Source organism: Homo sapiens, chromosome 11, assembly GCF_000001405.40.
Source record: "Homo sapiens chromosome 11, GRCh38.p14 Primary Assembly".
NCBI classification, from domain to species: Eukaryota; Metazoa; Chordata; class Mammalia; order Primates; family Hominidae; genus Homo; species Homo sapiens.
The window spans coordinates 68,008,547-68,026,968 of NC_000011.10; the positions used below are offsets into that span (position 1 = coordinate 68,008,547).

The 18,422-nt window shown below is 58.3% G+C and overlaps 1 protein-coding gene and 1 long non-coding RNA gene across 6 annotated transcripts in view, besides 3 other annotated features; one reads left to right on the plus strand and one right to left on the minus strand.

Moving 5' to 3' along the window:
• Positions 1 to 18,422, plus strand: part of ALDH3B1 (aldehyde dehydrogenase 3 family member B1) — a 20,730-nt gene continuing 2,308 nt past the window's right edge. The window contains exons 1-9 of one of the 5 annotated variants that reach the window (NM_001161473.3): positions 1 to 146; positions 6,751 to 6,913; positions 9,981 to 10,091; positions 10,227 to 10,347; positions 10,624 to 10,709; positions 11,169 to 11,250; positions 12,939 to 13,325; positions 14,049 to 14,215; positions 17,463 to 17,562. In NM_001161473.3, coding sequence (NP_001154945.1) covers positions 6,752 to 6,913; positions 9,981 to 10,091; positions 10,227 to 10,347; positions 10,624 to 10,709; positions 11,169 to 11,250; positions 12,939 to 13,325; positions 14,049 to 14,215; positions 17,463 to 17,562 — 1,216 coding nt within the window. In that variant the 5' untranslated portion in view covers positions 1 to 146; position 6,751. Of the gene's footprint in view, positions 147 to 1,780; positions 1,847 to 6,750; positions 6,914 to 9,980; positions 10,092 to 10,226; positions 10,348 to 10,623; positions 10,710 to 11,168; positions 11,251 to 12,938; positions 13,326 to 14,048; positions 14,216 to 17,462; positions 17,563 to 18,422 lie in introns of those variants that run through there. The other 4 variants (NM_000694.4, NM_001290059.2, NM_001290058.2 and 1 more) reach the window with 4 other exon arrangements.
• Positions 1,300 to 2,128: an enhancer, noted in NCBI's record as "H3K27ac-H3K4me1 hESC enhancer chr11:67777316-67778144 (GRCh37/hg19 assembly coordinates)". NCBI's record gives its function as "activates a minimal SCP1, AML or CMV promoter by ChIP-STARR-seq in primed H9 embryonic stem cells {active_cell/tissue: H9 hESC(primed)}" and the evidence as "EXISTENCE:reporter gene assay evidence [ECO:0000049][PMID:30033119]".
• Positions 5,761 to 6,655: an enhancer, noted in NCBI's record as "H3K4me1 hESC enhancer chr11:67781777-67782671 (GRCh37/hg19 assembly coordinates)". NCBI's record gives its function as "activates a minimal SCP1, AML or CMV promoter by ChIP-STARR-seq in naive H9 embryonic stem cells {active_cell/tissue: H9 hESC(naive)}" and the evidence as "EXISTENCE:reporter gene assay evidence [ECO:0000049][PMID:30033119]".
• The window catches only part of GLTC1 (glycolysis associated regulator of LDHA post-transcriptional modification 1), a 5,633-nt gene continuing 3,466 nt past the window's right edge, over positions 16,256 to 18,422 (minus strand). Inside the window, exons 3-4 of the long non-coding RNA NR_197583.1 lie at positions 16,641 to 16,786; positions 16,256 to 16,515 (exon numbers count right to left, since the gene is read on the minus strand). This is a non-coding gene — a long non-coding RNA (glycolysis associated regulator of LDHA post-transcriptional modification 1). The remainder of the gene's footprint in view (positions 16,516 to 16,640; positions 16,787 to 18,422) is intronic.
• Positions 18,200 to 18,422: part of an enhancer, noted in NCBI's record as "H3K27ac-H3K4me1 hESC enhancer chr11:67794214-67795079 (GRCh37/hg19 assembly coordinates)", that runs on past the window's edge. NCBI's record gives its function as "activates a minimal SCP1, AML or CMV promoter by ChIP-STARR-seq in naive H9 embryonic stem cells {active_cell/tissue: H9 hESC(naive)}" and the evidence as "EXISTENCE:reporter gene assay evidence [ECO:0000049][PMID:30033119]".

Genomic DNA, 18,422 nt, shown 5'->3' on the forward strand with positions numbered 1-18,422 from the left:
ACATGCTGAGCCACGTGACTGGCAGTGGCTGGGGGCTCCATCCCACACAGAGGACAGGGGCTCTGCAGTCCTTCACCCCCACCCTAACTATCTAATCACGGGCCACCGGTGTGGGCATGGTCCAGAAGACCTCACCGCCCTCCCAGGTAGGCAGGGAGCTGGCGGGTGGGGGGGGCCATGATGAGCACCTCCCAGGTGCCACGTTGGCCCAGAGGCCCCGGGGCCGGGAGCTACGGAGGCCCAGGGCACCAGGGAGATGGTAGCAGCGGCAGGCCCAGGAAGGGGCATAGAGGAGGCTCTTCCTCCACACCTGTCACCCTGTCCCCTGCCTGTCCACACCCACAGCAGCTTGCACATCATCCCCACAGCACGCTGGCTCTGACAGGTGTATCCGGGGCGGGCTGGGGGCAGGCAGGGACAGGCTTAGGCACAGCTGCCTGTGCCGAACTTGAGGAAGATCGGGACTACAGGAACCACCAAGGCGACACGTGGCATCATGACCACGGTCCTAAGCAGAGAGGCAGGCACTCCTCCTGGGAGGCAGAGGGGACATCCGAAACGGGTGCAGCCCCAGCTCTGGAGCAAGAAGCTCTGCCACACACACGCCCCATGTTCACATCCCACCCCCTCTCTGCCCCCACTTCCTCGTTTGTAAAATGTTAGATCTGCAGAAAGACAGGCTCTATGAATGGGGCGGCCCATGGGGTGGTGTGGAGGAACACGGAAGCACAGGGCGCTGGGAGAGGAGCAGGCATGAGGTATGGTCCCTAAGATGGTATTTCTAGACTCCAGCCACCTTTGGGTCTGACCTCTTTGTTTTGCAGAAGGGGAAACTGAGTCTTGGGTAGGGTGTAGCAAGACAAGCCACAGACAAAACACCTCAGACACTGGATTAAAGAAGGAAGAGGTTTATTCAGCTGGGAGCATCAGCAGACTTGCGTCAAGAGCCGAGCTCCCTGAAAAAGACATTCTTGGCCTTTTTAAAGGCTTACAACTTTAAGGGGTCCACGTGAAAGGGTCGTGATAAATCGAGCAAGCTCGGGGAACGTGACCGGGGGCTGCATGCGTCAGCTAACAGAACAGAAAGTTTTGCAGTGCTTTCTCATACAATGTCTGGAATTTACAGATAACACAAGTAGTTTAGGTCAGGGGTTGATATTATTATCACTTTTTTTTAACTACCAGGGCCAGGTGGTGGCGCCAAGGTCTTCTGGCTATTTCTCTTACTTCTGTTTTTTTCTAACTTTTTGCCTTCTCTCTTTCCTCCTGTCTTGTAAACCAGGCAAGGTGGTAGGAGGAGGGCAGCAGGAGTAGTAGTGGTCTTATTCCTTAGGGGAGGCATTGAGGGAAGGCTGGGAGTGGGGGGTCGAGACTTCCTTGCTATTCTGGGCCATAACATTCCACATAATATTATAATAGAATATAATTAATACAATAATAGTTCCCCACCCCACACCGGGATTCCCAGGGCCCACTGCCCCACTCCTCCTCCTCAGGCTGGCCCTCAGCTCAGTGCTCAGCCCTGCTGCACAGCCTCTCCTCCTCCTCCTCAGGCTGCCCCTCAGCTCGGAGCTCAGCCCTGCTGTGTGGCTCTAGCCTGGCGCCCTCTGGGCGTTGACTTCTTCTCTGTGGTCTGGGAGGAGATGTCGAGGCCCCCGAGGGAGGCGGTGGTGAAATCTTGGCTTGCAGCCTCCAGCCCGCCCAGAGCCAGAGTCAGGCACGAGGCTAGGGCAACTCCGCCCCACCCCTCCCCCGGGGACTGGCCCTGCGTTGGACATTTCTTAACAGCAGGGCCACCAGGCAGAGCGGGACAGCCAGGAGGAAGGGCAGCTTGGCAGAGCCTCAGGTAGAGTATCCCGGGGAGGCTGGGGCTGTAGTGGGCCAGCAGTCGGGCCAGAGTCCAGCTCAGCAACTCCGGGTTACAGGCAGCCCAGGCGGGCCTAGCCACCGGCAGCTGCACTCAGAGGCCACTGTGTCCTGGCTGAGCTCATCTGCCTGCCTGCTGGGGGAGAAAGCGGAAGGAGGAGAGGCAGATCTGGGGAGTGGCAGCGAGGTCCCGGGCACCCCCCTGGCCAGCAGGCACCCTTCCGTTGTCCGAGCTGGGTTGCCACCGCCTCCTTTTCCTGGGATTCCCGGACACCCTCCAAGGGAACCAAGGGAACAGCTCTGGGTCCAGCTGCCCCAGGAAGGACTGTGCGCCCCTTCCCCACAGGGGTCAAGTATCCCTTCCAGCAACAGCCGTTTCCTGGGCACCAGCCTGCATGCCCAGTGCTGATGCAGGGATGTGGCCATGAATGACTCTGGGAAAGAATCATTCTTAGCAATGGACTTTGTCAGGGTCCAAGAAAGGAGTGGCCAGCCAGCCCCGCCCCGCCTGCAGGAGGCACTTCTCATCCCGGGAACTGTGCCCCATCAGGGAGCCGAGGCTGTTCAGCCTCTTTGTGACCCGGGGCTGGGTTGGCCCGAGCCACCAATGAGGGGATACGCTGGTCCCTGGCTCCCCAAGGGAGGGGCTGCTGAGCTTTGGGAGGCCTCATGAAAATCCAGCTTAAGGCCATCAAAAGACAAAATGACAACACATTTAGTTATAGATCAAATTGGCTTCTATTCATGATTCGTGAATCCGGACAGCCTCCATTCTACAAAATGGAGTGAGAGCTCCCACCAGGCAGTGGCAGAGCAGGGGGTTCATAAGGCAGAAAGGAGGAAACAGAAAAATAGGAAACACCAAACCGCCTAATACCGGATCGCTGCAGACTGCTTTTTTCTAAGCGGACTGCTTTTTTCTAAGGGGTAAGGCAGAGGGGACCTGATGATGCCGGCTCAGGTGGACTGGAATCTCCTGCTTCCCGGAGAAACTGGTCTGTGGTTTTGGGCTCTGTCTGCTTCCTTAAAGCTTCGGTTTGATGATGTGGCATTTGGCATGAGTGCCTCCATTTTGGTTTGGTCTGGTCTGTTGGGGCCTAGTACAGGAGCTCAGTTCAAAATCACAGCCTCTCATCATGTTTGTTTAATGAAGCTACACTGCAGGAGATCAGAATCGGAGACCCTGCGGTATTGGGCCTGTGGGTCCCCTGAAGTTGGCCTAGTGATCCCCGCCTTCTGGCTGCCCTGATGGGGGTCCCCCAGGCCCTCTACCCACCATGTTCAGTCCCTCTGTCACCACATCCCTGTCCTCAGTTGGGTCTCAGGGTGATGTCCTTGTCTCCCCAACACCCACCTTGGATCAAGGCCCCTTCAGGCCCCTGCCCCAGGGGTCTCCTCCCTGAGCCCTCCTCTGGTACATCCGTCCTCCATGGATACTGAGCACTTCCCGGGGTCCCAGTGCTTGAATTCTCCCGACAGTGGTATGGGTGCCACAGGCAGTGCCCAATTTTACAGATGGGAAACGTGAATACAAAGAGGTCAAGCAACCTGCCCAAGGTCTCCCCACTCACACATGTGGTTGCTGCAGTTTAAACCCAGGTCATTGGGCCCCCAGACCATGCCATGCTGGGAGGATGCTCTTAGAAGGCCCATGGTGTAGATGAGGAAACTGAGGCAGGAAGAATGAGAGAACGGGCAGAGCCTCCGTTTCCCTGGAATCCAACCCACTTGATAGGCCAGGGTGTGAACGAGCAGGGAGTCCCTGCCCAGGGACGGTCCCTGCTGTGAGGTTGGGGGCAGCGGCTCGGCCAGCCATTCACTCCCTGTGATATGTCAGCCCCGTTCCTCCCCACTCTGTTCCCGGAGCCTGTGGGCACCCACAGCGAGCACCCAGGCTGGCATAGTGCCCAGCACATGGGCACCTGAGTATTGTTTTTAGAGGCCCGTGGCCTTGAGAGGAAGTGGCTGGTCCTGCCCTGGCCCCCAGGCCAGAGGAAACAGCCGCTATCTTCATCACCAAATGATGTGGCAACTCCCCCCCACCCCAGAAGCTGCAGGTCTGGGCCAAATGCACCTCAACCTGTGATGGGGGGCCACGCCCCAGAGACCCTTGGGCCCATCAGCCCCTGGACCTCAGTGGCTCAGCCGCAGGAGGCAAGAGGCAGTCTCAGACCCCACAACCTAAGCAGTGTGGGGAGTGGCAGCAATAGTGAGGAGGGAGGCCGAGGAAATGGAATCCAAACAGCAAGAGACCTCCCCTCACCGGTCACCCCTCCCACAGCTGGCCTACCGGAGTCCACCCAGCCTTGGGTCTGCCGTCCAGGCCCCAGCCCAGTGTCCCTTCCCCCAAGGACTTGGCTGCCCATCCCCAGGGGACTGTGAGGGAGGTGGGAGCTGAGGTGGATAGCCTTCTGCTCTTCTGGATTTGGGTTTTCCAATGTGAGGAGCTGGGTGGTATCAGGCAAGCTCTGGCCCTCTCTGAGCCTCAGCCTCCATCTCCTTCAGTGGGGTGAATAGTGGTCCCTCAGTGGGCGGCCGTGGTGGTGAAATGAGCGAGGGCAGGCATGGGGATCACACTCCTTACAACCTCACACTGTGGGATGAGTGCCGCGGGGGTGGGCTTGGGGGACCCCAGCCCAGTGCCTGATTCAGGAGTTCCCTATTCTGTGTGTCCACAATGGCTGCCCAGCACCCTCGGGAGATAACAGGCCCAGGATCCCCCCAATCTCAGGCAGAAGGCGGCCTTGGCTTCTCCGCTTGCCAGGGTCCTGCCCTGGGCACTCCCTGGGGGCCTCAGTCCAGAGTGAGTGACCCGTAGGGGCAATGCCAGGGCTGGTTGCCCTGTGGGAGAGATGTGTCCTGTGGCCCTGGTGAGTTGGTTTCAGCGTTGCTAGGAGGGTTGCTGGAATGTTCCCTGCAGAACTCCATCCCCCACAGAGCTCCCGGCCCACAGTCCACCATTCACGTTACGTGCCTTGCATTTTTGTGGTTTCTGCAGAGATTCTTACAAAGGGTGAGAGAGGCACAGGCGTGGTTTGCCTTTGACCACTGGCAGAAGTCTGAAGGTGAGAGTAGAATGGAGAAGGACCCAGGAGAGTGCGGAGTTGAGGGAGATAAATATTTGCAGGCTACTTAGCAAAACACCCAGAGCTGACCTTTGTCGAGTACTTTCTGTGGGCACAACAGCAAATGTTTTATGCAGCGTGATGTCATTTAATCCTCACAATGACACCAGGTGCCATTAGCATCCCCATTTCACAGATGAGGAAACCGAGGCAGAGAAGGTGAGTGATTTGCCCAAGGTCCCACAACCAGTAAGAGGCAGAGCCCGGAGACAGGCCTGATGGTGGCTCGAGAGGCTCGTTCTTGGCTCCTGGGTCTCAGTCCTGCTCCCGTGACGAGCCATCCCCTATGGGGACCATGGTGCCTGTCCTGTGTGCGGGCCACTGCCCAGCTTCTCCCAATCAGAGCAGGAAGATGGTGGGTTCAGCCTGGCCCCACAATCACTCCAGCTGAGGGCTGGCCTGGGGCTCCTGACCAGGCTCTCAGTAGCACACTGGTCCAGCAGGGCCATCCTGCAGACCGGAGCAGGTCCCGCCCTCAAGGTGGCCACTTAACAATCACCCACAGCCTTGCGCTCACCGATGCTGGGCCCTGGGCTCAGAACCGACTGTGTGGTCTCATCATTAGCTGGCAGGTGCCATCATTACACCGGTAACATGAGAGGCTTCAAGCACTAGGTCTCAAATAAGTAGGCACAGAGGGGCCTGCCTCCCAGTCTAATGAGGGGGAAATAAGGGAGATGTGGACAGGGTTGGGAGGTGGGTAGAGTGTAACCAGACATTTATCACATGGCACAACTCAGAACGCTGGGGAGCAGAGTCAAGGGGCCACTGTGACAGTGGATGAGGGCATAATCTGGGTGGGCTGCCTGGAGGAAGCATCAGCCAAGCTGAGATCTGGAGGAAAGGGACTCGGAGAGGGAAGGAGGAAAGGGTCACCACGGGTCCTTGGCACCAGGCCGAGGAACGAGTGCGTCAGAGTGCTCCTCCGATGAACTTCAAGTAAACAGGCAGGGCTCGGGGGAATGTCTAGGCCCCTACCCTGCCTGCCAGCTCTGGCTGGCACCAGCACGGAGGCAGGAACGCCCTCTCCCCCGCCCTGATCCTCTCCCCCACAGCTGTTTCTGCCTCCCAGCACCACAGCCCCGGCAGGGTGGGCAGCAGGGCCTCCAGGAGGCCCGAGGTGTTCTCCCCCTCTTCCTGAGGAAGCTGAGGCACAGGGAGAAGAGGCTATTGCCCACTGGCCTGGCCTCCCTGGGCAGTGCCCCCAGGCTGGGGACAGAGGAAGACGGAGAATTCTGTGTCTGGAGTGCTCCAAGGTGGTGGCCATGGTGGCAGTGAGTCACCCCCTCTACTCATCAAGCTCCTGCTTACACCATTCAGACTGGCAGGGGTGAGGCTGCCCCGCCTCCAGGAGGGGCATCAGGGCAGGGCAGAGGCCATGGCTTGGGGTTAATTTCTGTGCGGCAGGAAGAAGCATGGCGCTCTGCCTGCCTGCTCACCCTCGGGGGCTGTGGTGGAGCAGCTGTCCCCAAGCCCACACCCAGTCCTGCAGCCGCCTCCAGGTCCATGGCAGAGGGGAGTGGTGCGAGGGTCTTCATGTGTGTCTGGGAGTGCTCACTGTTGGGTGAAAGGGGTTGCAGGCAGCCTCAGTCCCTGTGGGGTCATCTGAGTGGGTCCCTGTGTGTGTATAAGGTAGAGGTGTCTGCAAGCCCCTGTGGGTGCAGGCAGGTCAGGGGTGCCCAGACCCTGGGGCGGCTGGGTGGTGCCCATGAAGGAGGGGCAGCCCTGGCCACCCAGTTCATGCCACCCCATCTGGCAGGATGGACCCCCTTGGGGACACGCTGCGGCGACTGCGGGAGGCCTTCCACGCGGGGCGCACGCGGCCAGCTGAGTTCCGGGCTGCGCAGCTCCAAGGCCTGGGCCGCTTCCTGCAAGAAAACAAGCAGCTTCTGCACGACGCACTGGCCCAGGACCTGCACAAGGTGGGCTGGGGTTGGGGGTATGAGAGGGTGCACTGGGGCAGGGGGGCATGGAGGGCAGCTGGGACAGCAGGGGATGAAGACACCTGCGCCCTCCATGAAGCGGGGCTAAAAGCAGCTCCTCCCCTAGGCCAGAGCCACCCTTGCACATTCATCCAGTCACTTATTTCTGTATTCATGCAGCAACTATTTGCTGAGCACCTACTATGTGCCAGGTACTGTTCTAGGCTCTGGGGATATAGCAGAGAATAAAACACAGTTCCCATGCCTACGAAGATGACCTTCTATCGGAGACAATAAAACAGCAAATAAATAATTGCACAGCAAGGCCGGGCATGGTGGCTCACACCTGTAGTCCCAGCACTTTGGGAGGCCGAGGTGGGCGGATCGCTTGAGGCCAGGAGTTCAAGACCATCCTGGCCAACATGGCGAAACCCCGTCTCTACTAACAATACAAAAATTAGCTGGATGTGGTGGTGGGCACCTGTAATCCCAGCTACTCAGGAGGCTGAGGCATGAGAATCGCTTGAACCTGGGAGGTGGAGGTTGCAGTGAGCCAAGGTCACACCACTGCACTCCAGCTTGGGCAACACAGTGAGACTCCATCTCAAAAATAATAATAAAGATAATAATTACACAGCATATTGGGTTGAAATATGTGCCCTGGAGACACACCCAGGGTGAAGGGGAGAGAGGGGGCCAGGATCAGGGTGCTGTTGTATATGTGGGGGTCAGGGAAGGTTTCTCTGAGAAGGGGGCTTTAGAGCAGAGACGTGAAGATGGAGGGGAGGCTCCCCATGGATGCTGGGGAGATGGCAGCGGGCACAGCACGTGCAAAGGCCCTGAGGCAGGAGGTGCTGGGTGTTTCTGCTTGAGGAGCAGCAAGGAGGCCAGCATAGCTGTCGGGGGTGGGAGAGGAAGAAACAGCAAAGATGAGGTCTGGGGTATGGGCCACACTATGTAGGGCCTCGGAGGCCGTGAGGCCTTGGCCTTCTCTCTGGGTACAGCAGGCATCATGGCCTCTGTCTAGACCCTGAAGGCTTGGGGCCTCAGCCCCTCCCAATCCCAGTGGCAGCCAAGGCAGAACCCCAAGAAACACACTTCCCCCAACCCCTCACCCATCAGGGCCCATGCACCTGCCTGCCCCTGCCTCAGGACACCTGCCCCTGCCTCAGGACACCACCTGCCCCTGCCTCAGCACATCTGCCCCAGGGGCTGCCCCCGGCTCCTATTCTCTGGACAAAATATCTCCTCCCTTTGCCTTGAAGGCTGTAGTGTTCAGACCTTCCCCCAGCCCATTGGGCTCCCTGGGGACTGACTCCCCCGCCACCACTGAGCTTCTGCCACCGGCCGCCTGCCGGCCTTCATGAGACTTGACCTGACGTCTGTCTGGTCCCTTTTCTCCCTTCGGCTCTGATTCCACCTCCTGCCTTCCCATCCCAGCTGCAGGAGCGGGGCCCTACAAAGGCAGCAGTAGCCCAGAACATTCAACCTGGTCCCTCCCTCTGGACCTGGTCACCCCCCTGTCCCCACCCTCAGCAGGCAGCATCTGCCCAGCGTCACGTGCACCCTCTCAGTTAACCCTTTGGTGAATCTGGTTGGGCAACCACACCCAGTGGCCCCCAGAAGAGGCTCAGAGAGAGTGTGTTCTTGCCCAAGGGCATGCAGCCAGGAAGAGCAGAGCCAGAGTTTGAACCTGGCTCAAAATAGCCCAGTCTCCCAAAGTCAGGTCCCAGGTGACCTAGGAGGTGTGGCGGGCAGGCCACCAGGCTCATGGGGCCAGAGCACAGGCTGTGGGAAAGTCCGTGTGGAAGGCACCTTCCCCCAGCCTCAGTGGCTAGGAGGTGCCAGTGGGCGTGGCGTCTTCCTCCCTCTTGGGGCTCAGCTGTAGCCCTGGCCTTGCCCCTGGTTCGCTGAGTGACCTCAGGCAGGGCATCTCCTTCTCTGGGCTTCGCTGGTCCTCTGGCCCATCCAGCACCCCACTGGCCCGTCCCCCTCTGCCCTGACCCGGGAGAGCCTGCACCCCATAACCTCAGGCGCTGCCTCAGCCAGGGAGCCAGCCTGGCCCCAGTGTCCCTGACCTGTTCTCCAGCGGCCTGCAGCCTGCTGCCTGGCTGGTCTCTCCTCCCTTGGGGCGCAGAGGGCAGGGAGCACTGGCTAGCCGAGAGCAGGACAATGTCCCTATTGATTCGGGTCTCCTCACTCCTGCTTAGAAGCCTGACAGTGGCCCTGGCCCCTGGGCTGTGGGAACTGACAGCATTTACCTAGGGGTGGCTGTGCCTGTGTCTCCTGTGGACCAATCTCCACCCTGCTCTTTGGGAGACTGAGGTGGGAGGATTGTTTGAGGCCAGGAGTTCAAGACCTACCTAGGCAACACAGCAAGGCACTCTGCAAAAAATCAAAACAAACTTTTTTTGAAATTAAAAAAAAACAAAACCCTAAGTCAGATCCCATCCCTGCTCTTCTCAGGAGTCCTTGCCTGGCTGCCTGGCCCCCTCACCTTGCCCACTCTGCTTCTTGCTAAACAGGAGCAGAGCAAGCGCACAGCCACCTCGGGGCCTTTGCAGCCGCCAGGGCCTCTGCCCAAAGTATGCCGCCTCCCAGTACCCACGACTTGCTTGTTCCTTGACTTCAGGTCACTGCTCCAATGTGACCGCCGCCTGGAGACCTGCACTGACCGCTTTGTAAAAACAGCACACACACACATGCTCATGTGGATGTATACATGTGCACACCTGTGCACGCCCACAGCCACACGCTCCAGCAGTCTCCACCCCCACCCTGCTCCATGATTTCCCTAGCACAGCCACGTCCTAATGGAGCCGTCAGCGTTCTCACTTTCACATGGAACGACTGCCCCCTGCAAGGTCGGCCTCAGGGCCGGTCCCTCTGTTTGGCACAGAGACAGCACCTCACACAGGAAGCACGCACTGAACATGGAGTGAGTGAGTGAACGAATGAATGAAAATGAATGAATGAGTTGTGGAAGCAGGCCCTGCCTGGAGGAGGCTGTGCCCTCCTGCCAACTCTGGGAATCCTGGCCCACCCTGACCCCACCCACTTCCTGCAGTCAGCCTTCGAGTCGGAGGTGTCTGAGGTTGCCATCAGCCAGGGCGAGGTCACCCTGGCCCTCAGGAACCTCCGGGCCTGGATGAAGGACGAGCGTGTGCCCAAGAACCTGGTGAGCCGGCCGGGCTGAGGCGGGCAGGGGGCTCAGGGGATATTTGCTCCCACAGGGTGGCCCCTCTGGGTGGGAGCTGGCTGCTGAGGGGCCGGGGTGCTGAGCACTTAATTTCATCCCCGGCTCCCGGCCCAGGCCACGCAGCTGGACTCCGCCTTCATCCGGAAGGAGCCCTTTGGCCTGGTCCTCATCATTGCGCCCTGGAACTATCCGCTGAACCTGACGCTGGTGCCCCTCGTGGGAGCCCTCGCTGCAGGTGAGAGCTGGGCCTGCCCCTTCCGGTCACCCTTCTCCGCTCGAGGCCTCAGGGCCACCCATGGATCCCAGGAGGACATGGGAGAACTGGCCCAGGTGGCAAAGAGGACTGTCTGGTCCACCGTCCCCGGGCTGTGTGGCCCTGGGCCCGTCATGTTACCTCTCTGAACCAGGTTCTGCATCTGAAAGTGGGTGAGGCTGATGCCTGCCCTGCAGGTGTGTGGAGACCAGGAGCTGGCTACGCCTCCTCCAGCTCTCTCCCTGCACTGCCCTGCAGGGAACTGTGTGGTGCTGAAGCCATCGGAGATTAGCAAGAACGTCGAGAAGATCCTGGCCGAGGTGCTGCCCCAATACGTGGACCAGGTGAGCAGGGCTGCCGGGCAGGTAGAGCGGGAACAGGCAAGGCTCAAGGGCTGGGCAGCCCCTGGCATGGAAGGGCCTGTCAGTCAGACCCGAGTCCCCACCTCAATCCTGCCTCTTCTGAGTTGTGTAAACTTGACCAAGTCACCGCCCCTGTCAGCCTCAGTTTCCCTCTGAGGAGCAGCGAGGGCAGCCTGTTGCCCAGGGGTTCCGTGTCTGCCTCCACCTGGCCCTGGCATCAGCCCCTCCAGCGCCAGCTGGACTCCAAGCTGGGCCTGCCAATGCCAGCCAACCTTGGGGAGCTCCCTTCTCCCCACTTTGCCTCCACCCAACCCTCCTAGAGCCCTGGCTGGGTCAGGCCAGGCGGGGTGGAGGCAGGGCAGGGTCCAGGCAGGGCGGGCTGCTCCCTTGTGTTCTCGGAGCTGGGGTCCCAGAAGGAGCCTCACCCATCCCGCCTTGCAGAGCTGCTTTGCTGTGGTGCTGGGCGGGCCCCAGGAGACGGGGCAGCTGCTAGAGCACAGGTTCGACTACATCTTCTTCACAGGTGAGGCCGGGACGAGGGTCGGGACAGGCTGGGGTCGGGGAGGACAGCTGCTCAGGGGTCCTGTCCCTAACTCTGGGAGTCCACAGGGAGACTGAATTCTCCTCTCTCTCTCTCTCTGGACCAGGCTGGGAGCAGTCCTGGACCCCCAGGACCCCTTAGGAAGGGATGGAGTCCCATGTCCAGGGCCAGCCCACTGTGCCAACCACAGCGTCAGGAACCATAGCCTCTGCCCCCACTGTCCCCAGACCCTCATACGTGACCCTGCTGCCCCCCAGGCTCTTAGACACCACCCTACTGGTGCCCACAGCCCTCTCTGCAGGCAGATGAGGGACTGGGCCTCAGTGTCCTGCCCAGGGTCACCCTGCTGGCCAGGATGGGGACAGGCTGGAATGTGCACACAAGCCCTTGGAGAAATCCACGCCAGAGGTCACTTTTTTTTTCTTTTTTTTTGAGACAGAGTCTTGCTCTGTCACCCAGGCAGTGGCACAATCTTGGCACAATCTTGGCTCACTGCAACCTCTGCGCCTCCTGGGTTCAAGTGATGCTCATGCCTCAGCTTCCCAAGTAGCTGGGGTGACAGGCATGTACCACCACGCCCGGCTAATTTTTTGTATTTTTAGTAAAGACAGGGTCTCACTCTGTTGCTCAGGCTGGTCTCGAACTCTTGGCCTCAACCAGTCCTCCTGCCTTGGTCTCCTAAAGTGCAGGGATCACAGGCATGAGCCACCACACCCGGCTTCGAGTTTTTGAGCTAGGGAGGGGCAGAGGGAGCGAGAGGAAGACAGTGGTGCTGGCAGGCGAGTCTGCGCCTTACAGGTCGAGGCAGTCGTGGGGAAGGGCCTGGCAGGATTGACCTGGCCGCCTCCCAGCAAAGGCAAAGGAGCCCTGGAAGGAACCACAGAGCCCAGGAAGCACTGTGCCAGGATGGGGCAGGGGTGAGAGTAGAGAAGGCACAGTGGCTCCTGCCGGCTTTAATCCTTGACCACAAGGGGGAGAAATGCCAGGGCCATCCCCACAGACGCAGCAGCGTGGTCCCCGAGTCAGGTCTGGAGAGGAGGCCTTGAGGCCCAGACAGGGCTAGGGCAGAGAAGGCTGTGTGCATGCGGAGACTGCTGGGCCCCTGGAGGCCAGCACAGAGGAGAGGTGAGGCCAAGCCAGGCAGGACATGGGGACGCCTGCATCAGCCTGGGACAGTCCACCTCAAGGGTCAGAAAAAAAGGGCTGGGCAGGTGGCAGAACTTCCAGGTTTAGGTTTAGAGAAGAGAGACCTGAATGCCGTAGACAGAGCTGGACTCCATCCTTGGGTGATAAGGGATCCCCGAAGTTTCCAAAGGAGATGGGTGGGGAGGGGTTCCATGCAGCATTTTGCAAAGAGTCCCCTGCAGGGTCAGCCAGGGTCACAAGCAGAGGCGGGAGGAGCCAAGGGGTTTGGCTCAGCAGGGGGACCCTGGGGGCCGATAGCAGCCGTGCACCATTCCCTCCTGAGACTCTGTGCTTAGGGGCTGGTCCTGATGAAGGATGAGCAGGGCCCTGGGCTGCAGGGTGGCAGTGAGGAACAAGGAAAGGCCAGGCGAGGGCTGCTGCCCGCTGACTCCACCACCTCTCCAGGGAGGAGCGGGGCCGTGGGCTGGGCCATCCCGCCTGGTCCAGGTCACTGAACGGCCACTCTGGTTTCCTTCCATGCCCAGGGAGCCCTCGTGTGGGCAAGATTGTTATGACTGCTGCCGCCAAGCACCTGACACCTGTCACCCTGGAGCTGGGGGGCAAGAACCCTTGCTACGTGGACGACAACTGCGACCCCCAGACCGTGGCCAACCGCGTGGCCTGGTTCCGCTACTTCAACGCCGGCCAGACCTGCGTGGCCCCCGACTACGTCCTATGCAGCCCTGAGATGCAGGAGAGGCTGCTGCCTGCCCTGCAGAGCACCATCACCCGTTTCTATGGCGACGACCCCCAGAGCTCCCCAAACCTGGGCCGCATCATCAACCAGAAACAGTTCCAGCGGCTGCGGGCATTGCTGGGCTGCGGCCGTGTGGCCATTGGGGGCCAGAGCGATGAGAGCGATCGCTACATCGGTGAGTCCTGCTGCCCCTACCACAGCCCACCTGGGCCAAGACCCCTCCTCACTGGAGGGCCCAAGGCTGGGCCACAACTCTGGACCCGCGCCTGAAACCTGGCCCCACTGCCAGAGCCCGGCCTTGAGCCACAGCTCCAGTGCCATGATTCCGTCTCTGTGCTTCTAAGTCTGTGGCCCTATGAGGCCAAACTCTGGTCCCTCACCTTGGATTCGCTGAGCTCAGATCCCAGGGCTCCAGGGCTCAGCGTGCTAAGATGAACTCCCATCCCACCACTGGCTATCCTGAAAGGCTGTAACCTCAGATTCTCCGAGCCCACAATCCCCAGGTTCTAAACTCCGAGAGTCCCGTCCTGAGCCCCCAGTCTCCTGGGCCGTACGGCTCAGCAGCTCATGGGACACTGCGGCGCCAACATTCTGGGACGCTGTTGCCTCATGAACTCCAAGGGTTCTAAGATCCCATCACCCCTGACTGTGAGACCAAGGTCGGGGGATTCTCTGTGTCCCACAGGCCCTGAGCAGGCTGGGGAAGCTCTAGAGTCCCTTCTGGGGGGCTGTGGGGAGACTTTCTTCCCTAAACACTCCAAAGCCTGAAGCCTTGGGAAGTCAGACCTTGGGATCCTGGCCTAGAGCCCTGGCCTGTGGCCCTGTCCCCACCTCTACCCCCACCCTGGGGGCGGTCCTGACTGTGGCCCCAGGGCTGAGCTGTCTCTGGTGCCTGCAGCCCCCACGGTGCTGGTGGATGTGCAGGAGATGGAGCCTGTGATGCAGGAGGAGATCTTCGGGCCCATCCTGCCCATCGTGAACGTGCAGAGCTTGGACGAGGCCATCGAGTTCATCAACCGGCGGGAGAAGCCCCTGGCCCTGTACGCCTTCTCCAACAGCAGCCAGGTGGGGGTGCGGCCGGGCTGGGCAGGGTCAGGAGCCCGCAGTGGGCAGCACAAGTGGTGGCAGCAGGGGGGGCACCAAAATCCAGTGGCTTCAGGACTTTGGGATGGTGGACCTCTTGGCTCTGTCTCTGCCCACTCTCCTGGAAGCAGCTGAGCCTCACCCACCCCAACCCTGTCCCCAGTCTGGGCCCCACTCTCCTAGGCCTTCAGTGGGCAGCTTCCTGGGGTATGGGCCTTCTCTAGGGTCCAGTGTTTCCTCTAGGTCAGCCCCTGCCTTTGTCCTTCTTACACATCGGGGCCTGGTGGCCACATGACCCCTCAAGCCTGGCTCTGAAGGCACAGGCAACGTGTCGGGGATGACCCAAAGGTGCAGGTCCAAGAATGAGCCCTGATCCCCTACCCCTGCTTAAGCTGCAGAGGCAGCCTGGGAGGCCCAAGGCCAGAGTCCTCAGATTAAAAAACACCAAGAGGTACCAGCAGTCCCTACCCACCCCGCCCCCTTCCCCGGCCCTCAGCCAGTTCCTCGATTCCCTCCACTTGAACTTTTTTTTTTTTTTTTTTGAGACAGAGTCTCACTCTGTCACCCAGGCTGGAGTGCAGTAGCACAGTCTTGGCTCACTGCAACCTCTGCCTCCCGGGTTCAAGCGATTCTCCTGCCTCAACCTCCTGTGTAGCTGGGATTACAGGCGTGTGCCACTATGCCCGGCTAATTCTTTGTATTTTTAGTAGAGATGGGGTTTTGCCACATTGGTCAGGCTAGTCTTGAACTGCTGACCTCAGGTGATCCACCTGCCTCGGCCTCCCAAAGTGCTGGGATTACAGGGATGAGCCACCGTGCCCGGCCACTTGAACTTTTTTTAAATAAACTTTGTATTGGGAAATACTTTTAGATTTACAGAAAAGTTGCCAAAATGGTACAGAGAGTTCCCATGTACCCCACACCTAATTTCCCCCATTTAATGGTGCTTAGATGGGTCAAAACTAAAAAAGTGATGGCAGGGCTGGGCGCGGTGGCTCACACCTGTAATCTCAGCACTTTGGGAGGCCAAGGTGGGAGGATTGCTTGAGCTCATGAGTTTGAGACCAGCGCTGGCAATATAGCAAAACCCCGTCTCTATGAAACATTTTTTTAAGATTAGTTGCGCATAGTGGCGCACACCTGTAATGCCAGCTGCTCGGGAGGCTGAGGTGGAAGGATCTCCTGACCCATAAAAAAAAAAAAAAAGTGACAGCAGTGCTTTACTATTAACTACACTCTAGACTTTATTTGGATTTTGCTGTTTTTCCACTGACATCCTCTTTCGGCCCCAGGATCCAAGCCAGGGTCCCACCTTGCATTAATAACCCTCTCAGCTTAAGGAGTGCTGGACAGGTCTCCTGTAGAACATCCCCAGCCTCAGGTCATCTGGTGTATTTCTCATGATTAAAGAAAGGTTACTGGTTTTAGGAGAGAATCCCACAGAGGTGAGCCTGCCTCTCACACCACATCTGGGGCACCTGAGATGCACACGTGGCTAGTGAGTGGAACCTTCACTACCGGGTCAGGACGGTATCTGCCAGGGTTTCCCTGGGAAGCTACTATTGTTTGTTTCTTTATTATTTGGAAGCAAGTCTCTAAGCCTACCCCACCCTCACCAGGTGGAGGTAATTAAGCTGTATGCTGCTCTATCATATTGTTAGTTATTATCTAGTTATTTTATACATTCTTTTCTTATTCCATTTGTGGTTTGGTGGAATTTTGTTGTATTGCCATTTGATACCTTTCTCTTCCTCCTTTGTATGATTGTTTTATAGGGCCTGTGAGTTTTGTACTTTTGTGTGTATTATGGCAAATACCAACTTGTTTTTATGTTAAGACTCCTTTGAGCATTTCTTGCAGGACTGATCTAGTAGTGATAAATTCCCCCAGCCTTTGCTTGTCTGGGAAAGGCTTTATTTCTTCATCTACGAAGCATAGTCTTAGCTGGATACCGTATTCTTGGCTAACAGCAGTATCTACATCTATTTCCTGGAATTCTGTAAGAAAGATTCATCTCTTGAATTGTTTATTTAGGTCACTACGGACTCAGGTATATTTATTTGACTCCAGGGGCTGTAATCCAAGGTCGTGTGGTTTGTCTGAGGCTCGGGCTCAGAAGCCCATGTAAGATGTCCCAGCCTCTTGGGTTGTGACCACCTCCTTCCCCTCTGGTGCTACAAGCAGCTCCAGGCTCATCTTGTATCTCCCCTGCTCCAACTCCAGAAGCAGCCATTCCTTCAAGGAGCCCTGCTTCATCTGGATACTTTCACCTTTAGAAAACTCTACAGAGGTTTTTTGACAGTGGAGTCATCTGGCTTCAAACTTTTCTGACCACCCAGAACTGATCCCAGGACACACAGTCACACCTAAGACACAAGTCATGCACAAGGTGGCTTGCCCGTACTACCTGGGACGCCCTCTGCTGCCTTCTGCTCCATCTCCTCCATCTGCTGCCACTGCCATTGTGGGTAATGCTGGTCTCATGCCATGAAGTGACGTCTGAATCCACTGGGGGCAGTCCGCTTTCCCCACATCAGACAAGCCCTGACCCAGCTGTGATCAGAGGTTCACGGTGATTGCAACTAAATATACTGAAGTTTTTGTGCAGCAACTATTTAGTGTCTACCAATCTTTTTTTCCTTTCAGTCTTCAAATAAGTCTACAGATTGAGGAAGAAGGTCCTTCTCAAGGACCTTCAAGCAAGGGCCAAGCTTCTGTTTCTAAAGTGCAAATCTGACCACATCATTATGTTTTCATGTCCCTGTGTTCACACCACACAGCTCTTCAGCCTCCACTCTGTCTGCAGTGCCCTCTTTGCCTGAACAACTTCTGTCCCTCCCAGTCCCTCCACTCAGCAGGCACATGACACCCCTCTCCTGGGATGCCTCCCTACTGTCCAGTACTGCCCTGCTGCCACTACACCCTCCATGTCCCCAAGCAACACTAGGTTTCCTGCCCCTACCCCCAGCCCTAAGAGTCTGTGCCATCAGCATGGACCACACATGAGCAGATGTCCAGGAAACATGTCCCAAGTTGGAAGCTTCATGAGGAGCTGCTACACAACCCCCTGCCCCACCTGTACCATCACAGGCCCTTCAGCTGACATGGTGGCCTCAGACCCTTTCTGAGGCAAGATCAGTGTCACAGAGTCCAGCATGGAACAGGCTCTGGGTCCTGAGGATCCTGATGGGGCTCAAGGCAGCCTCACGCACATCCTGTTCTCTCCCAGGTGGTCAAGCGGGTGCTGACCCAGACCAGCAGCGGGGGCTTCTGTGGGAACGACGGCTTCATGCACATGACCCTGGCCAGCCTGCCTTTTGGAGGAGTGGGTAGGTGCCTGCTACCCTGCCCTTCTGTTACCATTTGGTCAAATTGCAATAGTGTTACCTGCATACATTTCTGCCAAAGCACCCCAGCCCCACCTCAATGTAGAGGGACAGGCAAGGAGGCCTCACCCCAGAACCCGCATCCTGCTCCCCACCCCAGAGGGTCTGAGTCCAATCTGGGCAACACAGTAAGACCCCATCTCAAAAAAAAGTCTGTGGTGGAACCTTCTAGACCATCTCTGCACAGACACACAATTTAGTGAATTTTTAAAAATACCACACAACTATGATCACACTGCCCACTGCGATGCTATTTGCTCTTCTCCCCAACAGCATGACCTGGTGTCTGCCCCTCAGCAGCAATGCCGCCGGTGTCCTTTACTCCAGGGCAGCTGCTCCTCTAACCCCATCCCCCCTCCAGCTCTCAGTACAACACCTCCCCACCCTGAGAGGCCCGGATGAGTGCCAATCCTCCACCCCCCAGAGCAGCCCCGATGCCACTGCAGAGTCCTGGCCTCTGAGTCAGGAAGCCTCAGAGATGGTCCTAGCAACACGCTGAAGGCCCTGTGGCCCAGGTGACATCTCCCCTTTCTGAGCCCACTTCCTCCTCAGAGAACAGTAGGCCCCGAGCAGGTGACAGGCAGTCCCGCCACCTGTCCACACTCAGCACCACAGTGAACGATGGCAGGGCCAGGCAAGCTGCCTCAGGTGGGTCCATGCCCTTCCTGGAGGGCAGCCAGGGGCACAACAGTGCCTGTGCTGCTGTCCTGGCTCGGCTCGAGTTTGGGCGGCTGCCCCCGACCCCACCTAGCTGCCTCCCCAGCCCCAGCCCCAGCCTCCTCAACCCGCCTCCCTGCCCTGGA